At 37.3% G+C, this 17,194-nt stretch overlaps 1 protein-coding gene and 1 long non-coding RNA gene across 36 annotated transcripts in view; one reads left to right on the forward strand and one right to left on the reverse strand.

Moving 5' to 3' along the window:
• Positions 1-17,194, forward strand: part of HMBOX1 (homeobox containing 1) — a 163,155-nt gene that overhangs the window by 110,352 nt on the left and 35,609 nt on the right. For 33 of the 35 annotated variants that reach the window (NR_136758.2, NR_136757.2, XM_047422223.1 and 30 more), the window contains one exon: positions 8,605-8,715. Coding sequence is in view for 32 of the 35 variants with exons in the window: in XM_047422223.1 (XP_047278179.1) it covers positions 8,605-8,715 (111 nt within the window). In the remaining 3 variants the exon portion in view is untranslated. Of the gene's footprint in view, positions 1-8,604; positions 8,716-8,955; positions 9,040-9,216; positions 9,827-10,906; positions 11,052-17,194 lie in introns of those variants that run through there. The other 2 variants (XR_001745595.2, XM_011544642.3) reach the window with 2 other exon arrangements.
• LOC105379346 (uncharacterized) overlaps positions 14,568-17,194 on the reverse strand; it is a 28,066-nt gene continuing 25,439 nt past the window's right edge. Inside the window, exon 3 of the long non-coding RNA XR_001745858.2 lies at positions 14,568-14,655. This is a non-coding gene — a long non-coding RNA (uncharacterized LOC105379346). The remainder of the gene's footprint in view (positions 14,656-17,194) is intronic.

Raw genomic sequence — 17,194 nt, forward strand, 5'->3', positions numbered from 1 at the left:
CACTTCTCTGTTGAAATATTTTGGTCAGCTTCTTGTTCACATCAGTTGTTGTCATTGCCTCAGGCAGCTGCAGTGTTAACTTATTGCCACTGATTGTTTTCGACAAATTACCTCACATCTGTCTTTCCTCCTCAGAGAGAAGCTATTCACACTGAGTGAGATCTTGAGTCAGGTCAAATAAAGCAAGCCTTGCAAATAAAGATTTCCAGGTAATTGCCAGACAGGTCAAATAATGACAGTTCTCTTAGAAGGGTGTTTTGAGGAACTCCAAACCTGTCCTTTCCCCTCCAGTGACTACTAGGCCACACCTGGTTTTCACTGTGATTGCAGTAATGTTGGTTTTTAAGTCTGCTATAATGATAGTGTGACAGGCATGGGAGGAGGCCAAGTTAAAATGTCACATGCTATTCTTACCAAAATTCAGCATTTTTTAAAATAAATGCTCTTTGGATTGTTGGAAGCCTTTGGTAATTTCTAAAATTCTGAAGAAGTTGATTCTGACAATTGTTGACAGTGCTTTTATGGAACAGCAGATTTTGCTGTTGTTGCTTTTATGGAGGAGTAGGTTTTCAGAGGTTTTTACTTCACTATTCTCACTGATGTCACTCCAATTCAAGAGATTTTGAAGGAAAGCTGGCCCCCAAAATTTTCCCTCTAGAATTGTCCTCAAAGTATGAAAATGGAGACAAACATACAAACATACAAGGGTTGAAAAATACAGCACCAATTAGCCTGTGCTGTTAAAAACTACTCTGTGAAGAAATCTATACCCAAAGTTATATTTAAAAATAAGGCATTTTGGCCAGACACAGTGGCCCACTCCTGTAATCCAGGTACTCTGGGAGGCCAAGGCGGGTGGCTCACCTAAGGTCAGGAGTTCAAGATCAGCCTGGCCAATGTGGCAAAACCCTGTCTCTACTAAAAATACAAAAATTAGCCAGGCGTGGTGGTGGGCACCTGTAATCCCGGCTACTCAGGAGACTGAGGCAGGAGAATTACTTGTACCTGGGAGGCAGAGGTTGCAGTGAGCCAAGATCATGCCGCGGCGCTTCAGCCTCGGTAATAGAGCGAGATTCCATCTCAAACAAAACAAAACAAAACAAAACAAAACAAAACAAAACAAAACAAGACATTTAGGTATTGACTGGAAAGGGAACAAGAGGGACTTTTCAAGGGGCATAGAAATAATCTGTAAATTGATTTGAGCATGCATCATGTACATTTATCACATGCGTCTGTATATTTATCAAAACTCATTGAACTATATACTTAAAATTTTACTGTTTGTAAAATATAACTCAATTAAAAACAAAAAGATAAGAGTTTAGGAATGGAAAAACTTTTAAGAAACTCTGTGGTAAATCTTAAATCTTTAAATCTATAACCATGAGTGTACAGCTGTGGCAACTATGAATTCAGAACAGAATGTAAATGCTGACTGTCTAAAAATATGTTCTAAATATGAGGAGTTGGGTGCAAAGGCTGGAATGTGGAGATGGGGGAACTAGAGTGTAAGGATGTGTCTTAGTTATCTGTTGCAACATTAAGAACTTAGCATCTTGTAACATAAGCCTTTATTATGTCACTCAATTTGTATTGGCCAGGAATTCAGGAGCAGCTTAGATAGGTTGTTTTGGTTCAGGGGGGTCTCATGAGGTTGCAGTCATCTGGAGGCTTAAATGAGATTAGAAGACCCTCTTCCAAGATGACTCACTTGCATTGGCTGTTAGCAGAATGTCTCAGTTCTCTGTCACGTGGATCTCTCCATAGGGCTGCTTGAGTGTTTTCATAACATGGCTAGCTTCTCCCACAACTAGGTATCTGTGGGTGGGGCAGTGGGAGAGAGGGAGAGAGGGAAAGAGAGAAGGAGACGAAGGCAGAAGGTGTAATGTCTTTTATGACCTAGCTTCAAAAGTCATAGACCATCATTTGTGCCACATTTGTTGGTTGCACAGAGCAACCCTGATGCAGTGTTGGAGGGGATTACACAAAGGTAGTAAGACCAGAAGGATCATTTGGAGGTTGGAGGTCCCTTTGGAGGTTAGCTACCACAGTCTGCTAATTTCCTTAGCTTTTTTAGCTTGGAACCATTAAATATTGCCCATATGTTAAAAAAAAATCCATCCCAATGATACACTGTTTTTGTATAATGCTTTTTACCTTGCTTTAGTGGACTCTTTCGAGAACCTCATTTCTCTTATGGAAACATTTACAAAACTTCAGATATTTTGTTTTCACTCCAGTTTAAAAAAAATCCTGTGTTAAAATAAAACTACTTTTTAAATATATTTTAAAATTCTGTCTATAGTGTGGTTTCATTTCAGTTATTACTTCTACCTGTCCTGTGTGTATATATGCTTGGAGTGATGATCTTGGAATTAGTGTATTTATTTCTAAGGGGTGAGAATTTGGGTGTGTGGTTTTTAAAATTCGCTTTTCTCTTAATTTTTCCCCTTTCATCTGAATTGCTTAGGATTTTTAAAATAATGGACTTGTATTATGCTTACAAAAAGAAAGTCAGACTTTCAAAACAGTTTTGTAATATTCAGTAATGGTGAGAATGTAGGAAAACATGCTTATACTACGGTTAGAGTATAAAACTGAGTACAGTCTTGTCTTTTTTTTTTTCATTTTTTATCTAAGTAGGAGAGGAGTGAGAGTACAGTCTTCTTTAGGGGACAGTTAGGTGACATTTGTCACAAACATAAATGCTCTTCACAAACTATGAATCAAAAATTTCATTCCTGTGAGTCAGCCCTAGAGAAATATTTATTTGTCTGCAGAAGGTTGTACATAGAGTGTCATTGCATCATAATTTATAATAGTGAAACATTAACAACAACTGCAGTATCGAATAATAGGTTCATGTTTTAATAAATTATGGTATAGAATACCTTGTAACCACTAGAATGAAGATTTACAATGTACTATATGAGAACATTCTAAGATATTAGAGAAAAGTAAGTTACTTATTATATGTAGAATAACCCCAAGTGTATGTTTTTAAAACAACTGGTTGTGTGTGTGTGTATATATATATATATATATATGCATGCATATTTTTCTGTATTAAATTTTTCTGTATTAAATATATATATATATATATATATGAATGCATATTTTTCTGTATTAAATGCATGTAGAAAGTCTGGATGGATTCACACCAAATAAGGATACCTTTAGGATAGGAAATAAGGGGTGGGAGTGGAGGAAGGGCTTTTATTTTATCTGCGTGCATTTATGAATTATTTGAATTTTTGTAGACAATGCATATATGTGCTTTAACTTAAATTTAAACATAATTCTGCTTGCACTGTGGAAGGCGAATTATAGAGATGATAGCAGTTCTGAAGTACAAAATTGCTTGAAGAAGGAAATTTCATTTTTTCAATTGTGAAATGATCTTCTAATTAAAAAGGAGCTTATGAGAATTTTGTACTTTGTGGATCTTAAATGGTTTGTTATTTTTCTTATAGTTACTGCAATTGTCCAGGCAAAAGAGACTGAGATTCCAAACTTCTGGAATGAGGATTGGAAAGGACATGAAAATAATTTTAGGAAGAGAAAGTGATTGTATTTAGTAAATATGTAAGAGTGTGGGGGGAAAGTAGAGTGAACAGTAAAATTGAGATGGAGAACACAGGAAGGAGAACAGATTTAAGGATGATAGTGAATTAAGTTGACTGTGTTGAGGACCTGTGGGAAAATCTCATGGACGCTATCTAGCAGATGGTTTGAAAGAATGGTCTGGTACCCTGGAGGTCATTGGCATTTAGATGACATTTTAAATCAATGTTGTTGGTAATTGAGATGACCAAAGGAATTCTGAGGGTTACTAACATGTAAGAAGCTAGCAAAGCAGCCCTGAAGTCGACTGAAAAGATGTGGTGTTGGAATTGTATCCAGCATTCCAAGGAGGAAGATGATGGGAGTGGTCAGTGGTTTCACTCCTCAGGAAGTGGAAGGAAAATTAAACATAAATTTGTGGTATTGGAGACTCTGACAAGAAAGGATTATGGTGGAGAGCCCTCTAGTGGAAGGGAGCGTGGTGTTTGAGGAACAGGTAGCCTGATGCAGCTGCTCAGAAAATAATGTGAATGAGGCTGGAAAGGCTTTTTCTTCCTTTGAATACCATGTGATAACTTTCTTATTGGAAATAAATTAATCAGGGGTTAGTTTTAGTCTCTCAATGTGTGAAGGTTATATGTAAATTTTTTCTTTTCCTCTGCCCTGTCAGAGGTAGACAAGATAGGTTTTGAGGAACTAAAACTTGTGGGCAATGACGTTTTCTTCTGCAGTGGGAAGTAGGGGGAAAGTTAGGGAAATTTTCTCCTGAGAAAAAGTATCAAAGCTGATAGTATCGAGAGGCTGCCAGGGCTTATGAGACCGTGTTCAGCTGAAGGACCAAAGCAGCTCAAAGCATGAGTTCAAGGAGCCTTACCCATCTGTTAACAGGCTGCTTAGAAAAATCACTGTAAAACGTGTCCTTTTATGCTTTTATTTTGTTTACAGTGCCTTTTTTGGAAAAATTACCTGCTTTACTTATTTTCTACATTATTATATGAATACTGAGATTAAATTTAGAGGGAAGAAATTCTTGTTTATTTCTTCCTCACACAAAAGACAAGACAGGAGAATATTCTATAACACCATCTTCTTCCTTTGTTTTATTAAAGTAATAATTATGCATAGAGAAAATTGTGGAACAACATGTGTAAATAGCTAACCTTGCTTACTTCAGAGAGTAGAATTGGAGGGGGAAGACAGAAATTCTTTGCAACTATTTGCTTGTAAAATAACCAGTAAAGCTCTGTATTTAGTATTTAGGGTGAAAAGCCAAAAATAATTAATGCATATTTATAGGAAGATTAAGAAAACAATATAGAGATAGAAATGTAGGAAGAATCTGCCACTTTAAATTCATATTATATATCTTTAGTTATATATTAGCTGTTGTTACTATACAGAATTTAGAATATGTAACATTGTATATTCATAAAAATATATCTTTTCATTTATTTCATGAGCATCTTTCCATATTGATACATATCCATTTACTTCATTTTTTTGAAACTACATAGAATTTTAAGAACATTTTTGGGGCGACTTTTTAAAATTTAAATATATACACAGAAAACTGTCCAGCTTAATGGACACTTAAAAGTCAAGTTAGGACACCCATATAACCACCCTCCAGATCGAGATAAAGAGCAATGCTGGTCACCACATAAACTTTCCTCATTCTAACTCCCAGGCAGAAACCTTCTCCCTCCTACATGGGTAACTACTATTCTGATTTCCATCGCTATAGATTAGTCGTATCTGTTTTATAACTTTATTTAAAATGAATCATATATAGTTATGTATGGCTTTTGTGTATGTGTGTCTGTGTTATAGGTTTTTCAGTTAACATTATTTTTGTGATGTTTATCCATGTGGTTTCATATAGTGGTAGTTTATCTTTTTCTATTTAGTATAGTAGTCTATAGCAGAATGTGTAGCTATCACAGTTGATGCATTCTATTTTTTTTTTTTTTTTTTTTGAGACAGAGTGTCACTCTGTCACCCAGGCTGGAGTGCAGTGGCGCAATCTTGGCTCACTACAACCTCTGCCTCCTAGGTTCAAGCAATTCTCCTGCCTCAGCCTCCCGAGTAGCTGGGACTACAGGCACACACCACCATGCCTGGCTAAGTTTTGTATTTTTAGTAGAGATGGGGTTTTACCATATTGGTCAGGCTGTTGTGGAACTCTTGACCTCAGACAATCCACCCACCTCTGCCTCCCAAAGTGCCGGGATTACAGGTGTGAGCCACTGCGCCTGGCCGATGCATTCTATTATTGATGGGCATTTAGTTGTTTCACATTGGGGGCTATTATGGAAATGTTTATAAGAGCCTTCTTGTCTCTTTTGAACATACTTCTATTGAGCAGGTGCACATTTCTGTGGGATATATGCCTAGTAAAAAAATGCTAGGTCATAGAGTATATGTATGTTCAGCTCTAGCAGTTATCATCTGTTTCCCAAAGTGGCCCTGCCATTTTATCCTTCCATCAGCAGTGTGAGAATCGTATATGCTCTATAGCCTTGCCAGCACTTGATATTGATGGCTTTTTATTTGTTTGGTTGGTTCTGCTTTTTTGTTGTAGTTTTCTGGGTTTTTTTATGGCTTTTTAAAAACATTAATTTTAAAGCCTACCAGTGTTTTGTTATATAAATATACTCTAACTTAACTAATGTCCGTTTGATGAGATTTTGTCCTCTTCTCACTATACCAAAGCCAGAACCTGGACAGTTCTGTTGTCTAGCGAGCTCTGAGGCTTGTTCTATGTATGATCTGATTAAGGAAGATTTCATATTGGAACCAGTTAACAGAGCTGATAATATATTTTTTCTTAACTGATTTTTCTCAAGTTTTCTGTTTTGAGTAGTATGATAGCAATATGAAGAATCCATGTAAAATAATTTTATTTTGTTGACATGAAAATCAATGTTGATTTCATGGTGGTTGTTTTCTTCACCCTTTAAAAATGCAGTATAGGCTGGGTGCGGTGGCTCATGCCCATAATCCTGGCACTTTGGGAGGCTGAGGCGGGCGGATCACCTGAGGTCAGGAGTTCGAGACCAGCCTGGCCAACACAGTGAAACCCCATCCCTACTAAAAATACAAAAATTATCTGGGCATGGTGGCGCATGCCTGAAGTCCCAGCTACTCGGGAGGCTGAGGCGGGGGAATCGCTTGAACCCAGGAGGTGGAGGTTGCAGTGAACCGAGATCACGCCACTGCACTCCAGTCTGGGCAACAGAGTGAAACTCTGTTTCCAAAAAAATACAAAGAAAAAAAAAAGTAGTATTAAAAAATAACCATAATGTCTGAAACTAGACTTTTGGTGAAAGCCGAATTAATTATCCAGAATAATTTGCATTTTCTTAGAAGAGGCATACAGTGCCTACATTACATGAATCTTTAGTCCACTGGAAAACTGCTGTGTGAATTATTTGAGAATATAATCACTTAGGGTTTGGAAAGCTGTTTGAATTTTGCCTTTTGAAATTGAAAGATTTTTCCAGGCTGGGCATGGTGGCTTGTGCCTGTAATCCAGCACTTTGGGAGGCCAAGGCAGGAGGACCACTTGAGCCCAGGAGTTCGAGAGCAGCCTGGCAACATTGTGAGACCCTGTCTCTACAGAAAAAATAAGAAATTAGCTGGATGTGGTGGGGCCTGGTACAGTGGCTTATGCCTGTAATCCTAGCACTTTGGGAGGCCGAGGTGAGAGGGTGTGGTGAGCCATGATTGCGCCACTGCACTCCAGCCTGGGAGACAGAGTGAGAACCTTTCTCAAAAAAGAAAAAAAGAAAGATGTTTCCAGTCAGAGAACTTTGCTTCACAGTCTTTTTTTTTAACACTCCCCTCTCCCATTTCCTCAAATTTTCTTTTGACATAGGTTTTTAAGTGTGTGAAACTCTAGGGGCTTGCTTTTAATGAGTTAAATGTGATCCCAGGACCTCCTGCTTTTTCTGATGCTAGAGGGTGTGATTACTTCATGATAGCTACTCTTCCTATTGGGCATTATACCTTTAAACGGGACGAGTCGACACAGGTGATATTCAGTAATATTCGGTTACCCTCAGTAATTCCTTGGGAGGTTTTAGGTATAGGTAACCTTCTCTGGTAGCTGAATGGTCTTTTGGAAACTGCCTTGTGGACTTACAAGACAGTTTTGTCTTTCCTGTTGTTACTTGCTTTTGCCAGTTTGTACTGAGTTATTCATTTTTTGGAATAGCTATGAATGGCCAGAATGAGCATGTGATTCTCATACTAGTAAGTTTTAGACATGCTTTTTTACTTTCAAATGTAGAGATTCTTTACATTTCTAAGTAATTGCTGTCAAGAGCTTCTTGGAGATAGCAGAAAACTACTGCTTTATATTCTGTTCAGTTTTGTGGAAAGCTTGTGTTGGAAAAATGTCTTTAGCTGTTGAGATTTCTTAAGAGGTCATATTGTAGCATACATAACTCTAAAAGTCTGCTAATTCTTCTCTGTACTAATGGTAATGACTCTAAAAATGGCTAAATGAATTAACAAATAAGCCAAAAAAAAACCTTATTGAAGACAGTATTTTCAGTGACCTTTTGTTTCCTAGCCCCTAAATCTTTTGGTCAGTATCCGTAATGAGTAACAAAACTTGCTGACTTGACTTTTTTGCTCAATATCTTTTAAAAGTTTTATTATTCTAAATTAGGGGTGGAGTGGAAAGCAGTGGTAATTGAAGGAGCACAAATATAATAAACTCTGACAAATAGCTTTTACTTTAGGAATCTCTTTATCTCAGATTCATGGACCTTTTTTGGAGATTAATTTTAGAGGCCATTGTCGGGTCTTAATTAATAAACTGCCTTGACGTTGAAGAGATAATTTCTGAGTATATCCTAGCCAGTGCAGTCAGTCTTTACAAAGGAATCCAATAATAGTTTGCTCAGGTTGCAACTTCCTTATGGACTGGACACAGAGAATAAAGCACCCAGTAACCTAGAACCAAAAGATCCTTTATTAATTTCACTGTAATTTCAGTGCCCCCCAAAACCTATTTCTCTTTCTACATAGGTATCAGTCAGAGCCGGATCTCTCATTGGCTGTTGCAGCAGGGATCAGACCTGAGTGAACAGAAGAAAAGAGCATTTTACCGATGGTATCAACTTGAGAAGACAAACCCTGGTAAATAGCATTTCCTTTTATTTATTGCATCTGAAACAAGACAGATATAATGAATTACTTTAATGACTCCATGTGCTAACTTGTTCAGTAAGATGGTTTCATACTTTACTATGGTTGCTTTATGCAGAAAAAGACTCTTAACAGTAAAAGCTAAACCCTGACTGTAATAAATTTTATTTTATTGTCTAATATTATCTAGTCATATTCACTCCTTCCCCTAAGACACCTCTTTGCTTTCAGGTTATATGATATTTCTAGCCATAGTTTGAAAGAACGCTATGAATGTTCAGTGGCTGATTTTGTTTTCTTCAACTACATAACTACGTAAGATTCCGTATCTCTTTTTTTTTTTTTTTTTTTTTGCAAATCTTGTTTGAATTAGTAATGTAAATTTAATATTTTTATTTAATTCATGCTGTACCATATCCAGTGATCTCTGCTAATGATTTTTTTTTTTCTAATTCTAATGACCTGGGTAATGGATGTATCTTTGGACTTTAGGATGCAGCTGCCCTGATGACTCCCAGGAGCAGCAGTAGATTGGGAAAGCAGAATGAAATCTTAAGAAAACTAAGATGACAAAAAAATTTATGTCTAGAGTTGGAAGAAGTAGGCAAGATCTATTCAAGATACTAACAGGTGATTTTATAAAGTGAAATCTGAAGTTATGGGACTATCTCAATCTATACTTTACACAGGCAAGTGACAGTGAGCCTGCCCTCATGTGTAAATTTAAGATTGGGTTGCGTTCTGTAATGCTGCAGCCTCAAAGCCTTTGCACACAGACTAAAACACTAGTTGAAATATTGCATAATAATAGCATTGGCTCTGAGGTAGAAATAAAGAATGTCATAGAGATGTATTTTTGTGTGTAAGTATGTGATAAGATTTTTTTCCCTAAAGGTCAGTTTCTCAATCCGAATGGTCCAGGCAGGATGAAACAGAAAAGAACCTATCAACCTCTACAATAATATTAAAAATCTATTCTGACTCCCAGTTTTTATTTTGAAATGTTTCAGATGTACAGAAAATTCAAAAGACTAACACAGTAGACACCTGTTTACTCTTTCTTAGATATAATAATTATTACCATTTGGCTGGGCGCAGTGGCTCACGCCTGTAATCCCAACACTTTGGGAGGCCGAAGTGGTCAGGTCACTTGAGGCCAGTTCAAGACCAGCCTGGCCAACATGGTGAAACCCTGTCTCTACTAAAAATACAAAAATTAGCCAGGTGTGGTGGGGCATGCCTGTATCCCAGCTACTCGGGAGGTTAAGGCAGAGAAATTGCTTTAACTCGGGAGACAGAGGTTGCAGTGAGTGGAGATGGTGCCACTGCACTCCAGCCTGGATGACAAAGGGAGACCTGTCTCAAAAAAAAAATATATATATTATTATTATTAACATTTTACATTTGCTTTATTTCTATAAAAAAGTTAAGATTTATATATGTGTGTATTCAGCATTCATCTCCTAAGAATAAAGATAATCTGTATTACCACAGTCCTCATTATTATACCTAAGAAAATTAATAATAATTTCATATTATCATTTTATATCCAGTCTGAGTCACATTTCTCTAGCTATTAGAAGAATGTCTTTTGTAGCTCTTTCTTTAGTATCTCTTTTAGGTTGGAAAATTGGGATATCTCTTAAATCTAGTCACCCAAACTTTTTTCTTTTAATGACATGAACTTCTTAAGCCATGTAATTTGACAGAATGTCCCACATGCTGGATTTTTCTATTTACTTTTATTATCAAATATCTAATTTCTTTATCTTCTGTATTTCTGTAAGCTGGAAGTTAGAATTAAAATCTGAAGTCAGGATTCATGCTGAATATTTTAGGCAAGATTACTTCATAGATTATTTAGGGAGGCACGTACTAATGGCAGCAATTTATTTTGAAATGCATCGGAAAATAAAATGGAATTGTATTTAGGGAAATGGATAGCTATGTGATAAAGTAAAATATGTGGTATGAGTATGGTTTTCACTTAAAAAATTCTTTCACTATTGTATGTTTGAAAATTTTTGCAATAAAACACTGGAGAAAAATACTTTGTAGGTAGTGTTTACCTAATATTGCCGCATATTAAGAGGCCTGTCAGCATTAGGAGGTTGTAGCACTATTCATATGCCAAGTGTGATGGTTTTGTTAAAATGGTGACCACCAGATCTTTTCTTTGCAGTTTGTGAATAATCTTTAGGGTGACACTTTGCCCCTGGATGAATATCCTTTCCTGCAACAGCTTTCACCGATGACCTTAGCATTCGTTGATGATTCTTGATTGAATCTGTTATTCTGATGGGGATTGCAAAATGGGATAATCAACTGGTAAGGCCAAATTCCCGCACTGGAGTTTCGGGGCTGGGCTCTAGTCCAGCCCTGAACTAGAAATAGGAAGGACGACTAAGGTGCAGCTCTAGGGCCACAATGGCATTGTTGCAGCTGATCTGATAGCCAGTTGTGGAATACTAACTACAGGAGTCCAGCTTTAGCACTGGGCTGATAGTGTTCTTCCAAAGCTGGTTTTTTTTTTAAATTATTGTTATTTATTTTAGCTTTTAGTCTTAATTTCCTATTTTAGTTTATCTTGAAACCAGTATTGGGAAATTAGAGGAAGGTAGAACTAGGGAATTGAAACCAGCAGCATTCATCTAGCTGATAATTAGGAGCTGATTTCTTTAAGTACATAGTGCCTCCTTTTAAGACGTTCCTCTAATTATATGCATTTGTTTTTCAGTAAGATTGCATTATTGTCACCTTTTAAAAAGTACTTTCTATTTTTTGTTTAAAAACCAAATCCTAACTACTGGTTTTCTCAGTCAAGTTTTTCTGTGGGACATAATTTAAAGGTAGCTAGAGATAAGAGGGTAAGTTCGTAATTGCCATTTGGTAGTTGTTGTTGCGTTAACAGCAATTGGGTATTAGCAACTGAAATTTGTTTGTCTTTTTCTTTGCATTTTGACATTTATTATAAAGGCAAATATCACATAGAATTCTTTCTCGATAAAAGTGATTTTGTTTTGTTGACTAAAATAACCTTTGATTTTAGCTAAAGAATTTGGAGCTACTATTATGTTTGGTTAAGATGAACTAAAATTATGTTAGCTTATAGGACAGCAGATCCTTCATTGCAAGTCATTTCAGACCTGATTGGAATCCACCCAGATGTCCCTCAGTTGAGAACTGGTTAAATAAATTAATGGCACATCTGTACAATGGAATCTTATGGAGCCATATAACTACTTTTTGAAGGCAGCTTTATATGAATTAAATTTATATGAGGTGATATGGAATTCATAAGTAAAAAAGGTACATAACAGTATCAAGGGCATATTTATGTAGGGGAACACACACACATACACATGTATATGCTTATCTAAGCATAGAAATCTCTGAAAAGCTGTGTTAGGAACTGGGAAGAATAGCTCTGTGGAGGGGAACTGAGTGACTGGGAGTACAGGGGTAAGGAGTTAACTACACAGCCTAATGTGTCTTTCTAAATTTCATACTATGTACTTGTATTATATATTTGAAAAATAAAGTGTAATAGGAAGGGGGAGACAGACCAAAAGAAATCAATCTGCCTTGTAAGATTAAAAAGAAAGAAAGAAAAGGAAGAAAAACTTAGGTTTATACAGTCCAGACCTGCTTTTGAGAAGCAGGTAGAAAATAAGTTGTCAGTGATTTTTATCAAGTAATTCTTTTATTTCATAATTTTTTTTTCTGTCTAGGAAAGATAGCTCTTTAGGGTAAATGTAAATAGTGTGATCCCTTTACATATATTCTGAGAAGAAAATGCAAAATTAAGAAAAGTCACAAAATGAAAAACTACTTTTTCTTTTTTCTTCTGTAAATTTAAGCATTTAGAAAACAAAAATGTTTGTATATTCTATGACTCTATTCCTGGGCGTTGGAGCATTTCTCTTTGTATACTTTGAGTGAAGTCCTTTTGTTGTTGTTGTTGAGACAGAGTCTAGCTCTGCCACCAGGCTGGAGTGCAGTGGCGCAATCTTGGCTCACTGCAACTTCTGCCTTTCGGGTTCAAGCAATTCTCCTGCCTCAGCCTCAGGAGTAGCTGGGATTACAGGCACGTGCCGCCACGCCCAGCTGATTTTTGTGTTTTTAGTAGAGATGGGGTTTCACCATGTTGGCCAGGCTGGTCTTGAACTCCTGACCTCGTGATCCACCCACCTCGGCTTTCCAAAGTGCTGGGATTATAGGCATGAGCCACCGCACCCAGCGGAAGTTCTTTTTTTCAACCTCTTCAGTCTGGATCCAGTTGTATATGGCTTTTGGTTTTTTGTAAGTTTCTCTTTAAGTGGACTCATCAAGAAAAATAATAGAATGGATATTTAGGTTAATTTTACTGATAACCCGATTGATATAGTGTAGTTCTCTGATAACAGACTCATCATCAGAATTTACCAGCATAAATGAAAGCCTGCCAAGGCATATTAATAAAATAGGCTGATGGAAACTAATCAAATACATTTTATCTTGTTTCTTATGAAAACACTTATAAGAAAATACCTATTTTTTAAAAAAAAGTGAGTGCTAAATTCAGGATGGTTGACATCAAAAGTCCCTTTATTTAATCAAATTAAGTTCACAGTCTTTTTCCCTTGTCTAATTTAAACATTACTATAGCAGACAGGGTTTGCTGAGTTCCTCTTGGCATGTGGTGCATATTCTGCATGCTTCTAAACAATTAAATAAAATTTGCCAAGAGGGTTATGCAGCAAATACATGAGATAAATGTCATCAGAAGAAACATCCAGTCCTTCACTTGCAGAGTGTTAGATCTCAGGGAAACGTGTGTGACATGGGGGAAGATGTGAAATTACTTTTGGAGAGGTTAGTTCCTATGGATGGCGTAGTAATGATGTGCTTATAGTCCCCTCACCCAGAGCTAACCCTGATCAGCAAGGACATTATGATATATGTAAAGAGAACACTTACCAAATTTTTATATGTCTTAACAAGTTATGAAAAGAGTTTTGGGTTTTTTTTTTCCTCATGGGTTTAGATTTGCTAGGTGAAGGTGCAAAATTTTGTTTTAATGGAAACTTAGATGGGGGGAAAAAAGATTTCTGTAAGGAAATAGACAACACACTTTTCCTGTTAGGACCTTAGCCAACCCAGAATTCCTGTATTTTACTTCAGAGGAGTTTAAAGGCTTAAATACATTGTTCCTGCATTCTAGTGTCTTTGTGTTTTTCTGTTAGAGTCAGTAATTTTGAACTCGCTCTTGCTTTTCATCCATTTCAACCAAAGCAAGATGAACTAAGGTTTCCAGAACAAATCTGTTATTAATAGAGTGTTTCCAGAGTACTTTTTTGTGCTGTTTTTAACTACTGCTACATTGAAAAAGAAAAAGGAGCCAGAAAAAAATCTGAAAAGTAATGTAACATTATGTTTTAAAGTAGGTATTTTGATGAATTTAAGATTATTCATTTTTCACCTTCTGTGTGTAAACTGTCTTGATTTCTTTTTTTTCCCCCACCCCGAGATGGAGTATCACTCTGTCGCCCAGGCTGGAGTGCAGTGGCACGATCTTGGCTCACTGCAACCTCTGCCTCCTGGGTTCAAGCGATTCTCCTGCCTCGGCCTCCTGAGTAGCTGGGATTACAGGCGTGTGCCACCACACCCAGCAAATTTTTGTATTTTTAGTACAGACAGGGTTTCACCATGTTGGTCAGGCTGGTCTCAAACTCCTGACCTCAGGTGTTCCGCCCGCCTCAGCCTCCTAAAGTGCTGGGATTACAGGCATGAGCCACCGCGCCCGGCCTTGATTTCTTTCAAAATAACCAGGCCACTACTTACTTTTCTGTCTTCTTTTTCTCCTTTTTTCTTCTCCCCTCTTCCTTTTCCTTCCTGCCCAGTTTTATTTCATCTGAATTTCCTTCAGTTCTTGAGACTGTCTTGACAATACTGAATATTACAAAGAAGCATAATATTAATAATAAACCCCAATACCAAGAAAGAACCATTATTATTAGTTGGCTTATTTCCTTCAACCTCTTGGTTAGGATTCTTTCTGTTCTGTGTTCTATTTGTACCCATTTACCACTCTGCTTACTAAGGAGCATGCCGCAATTATGGATGTGGCCTACTACCTGGAATTCACTGACCTATTGCCCACCCTCCATCCTGAAGCTCTTTCTTTCTTTACAAGGGTCAGCCCCTGGACAAGAGGTTGTATTCCCTTACTGAGTCTTATTTCTACCTTTATCTTGATCAGCCATGATAACCGGTTGGCTCTGTTTTAGTCCTTTTCACCCTTGCTATAGAATAACATTTATATAATTTTAATTAGGTAGATTCCAGAGCTCTTGCTGTGCTGTAATCCCTACTTGTTTTCAGAAAAGCACTATAAGACTGTGAAACCCTCCAGCCCCCAAATTCCTGCTTATGTCTAAACTTAGTTAACTTTCAATTAGGCCCAGACTGAATTCTCAGTTTATTTTGGCAGAATGAAACCCTTTTAAATTGTTTAAAGAAGGGTTTCAGTTTAGAATTTCATGTTGGGTAGAGCAGAAATGTTTTTAAACCAGGGGTTGGCAAACTTCATATAAAGGGCCAGACAGTAAATATTTTAGGTTTTGCAGGTTATATGATCTCTATCATAGCTACTCAGCTCTTCTGCTCCAGTGCATTCATAGCCATAGACAATCTGTAAATGAATGAGCATGAGCATGTTTCAATAAAACTTTATTTACAAAAATAGGCAGTGGGTATAATTTGCCAACTCTGTTTTAGGGTGGGCTGTAAATCTCTAAAGCATTATATGATGACAAACTTACTTGTTTAAGCAGAAATGTTAAGTAGTTAAATATTTACTTTCCATCACATGCTATAAGAAATCACATACATATTAAAGGCTGAAACACAAAATGAAAGATATAAAGATACTCAGTGATATTCAAGCCCATTGGCCATAATACAAAAGACTGACAAATTTGACTGTATTAAAATTAAGATCACAAAGCACACTATAAAAAACAAATGACAGACCAGAAAAAAATTGCATTCTGTATGACTAGCAATTGCTATGATTTCTCTGCACCCATAAGAAGAATAACCCCCTAAAAAAGGAACAACAGATAGAAATTCACAAGAAAAGATATAAATGGTCAATAAACAGGAAAAGATGCTCATTCTTATTAGTAGTGAAGTCTCTATATTAAAGGGAAATTTTTTGCTGCCAAATTTATACATTTGAATAATTAATAATAGTGTATTGGGGGATAAAGGGAAATAAACAACTGAGGATGATTGTGATAATTTTTATTAGTTATCTATTCTTATACAATAAATTATCCACAATTTAGCAGCTTAACACAACCAGCATTTATTATCTCATAGTTTTCATAGATCAGGAATCCAGGAATGGCTTAGCTGGTTGTTTCTGGCTCAGAGTTCTGTAGAGGTTGCTGTCCAGCTGTCAGCCTGGGCTGCAGTCATTGGGACTGGATGGTCCACTTGGAAACTCACTCATGTGGATGTGGACAGGTCCCAGGTCCTCACTGCCTGTTGGTCAGAGACATCAGTTCCTCACAACATGGGCCTCACCATCCACTGCCTGAGTGTCCTCACACGGCAGCTAGTTTTCCCTTGAGTGAATAAGAGAGAAAGCATCCAAGACAGATGTCATAGTGTCTTCTGTATTCTGATCCTTGAAGTGACATACCATCACTGCCACATGCTGTTGGTCGCACAGCCTAATCATGGTGCAGTGTGGGAAGGGACTATACGGAGGTGTGCAGACCAGGAGGCAGGGATCCTTAGGGACCTTGGAGGTTGATGTCCACATTCCTGTGCTGGGACTGAATGTCTGAGGCCTTGTTTCTGTCTATCACCTGGTTTCTGCACTTCTCCATGTGGCATTTGCTGTGGCTACAGTGTCCAAGATGGCATTTTCTCTCAAATGCTGGCACCTGGGTGGAGTTGGCAGAAGACCCTGGGGACTGTCAGAGCATCTTTCACTCCATGTAGCCTCTCCACATGGCTATCCTGGGCTTCCTTACAACATCATAGTCTCAGGTTAGTCAGACTTCTTATATGGCCTCTGGTTTCCCCCAGAGCCAGCATTTTAGGAGACCTAGGCAGAAATTTCAAAGCATCTTATAACCTAGCCTTGAATTGTTTAGATTTTCTTGCTCAACAACCTGTCACAGGACTGGCCCAGATTCAAGGGCATGATTAGCCAGAGGTATGACTTACTGTGAGGAGCCGTCTTTGAAACTTGTCCCAGGAAACCATGATTGTGAAAGATGATGCTGACGTGTTCTAAAAGTAGTAGCAGTGCAAGGAATAAAAATTGATCTGATACTGGAAATATTTTGAAGATAAAATGAACTTGCCTATGAATTAGTTATGTATAGGTGGGATAATTAGAGAAGTGAAAGATTAATTTGAGAATTTTGAGCTGAGTGGTTTGAAGAGTGGGTATCTATTTACTGAGATGGGA

This window comes from Homo sapiens, chromosome 8 (genome assembly GCF_000001405.40).
Source record: "Homo sapiens chromosome 8, GRCh38.p14 Primary Assembly".
Lineage (NCBI taxonomy): Eukaryota > Metazoa > Chordata > Mammalia > Primates > Hominidae > Homo > Homo sapiens.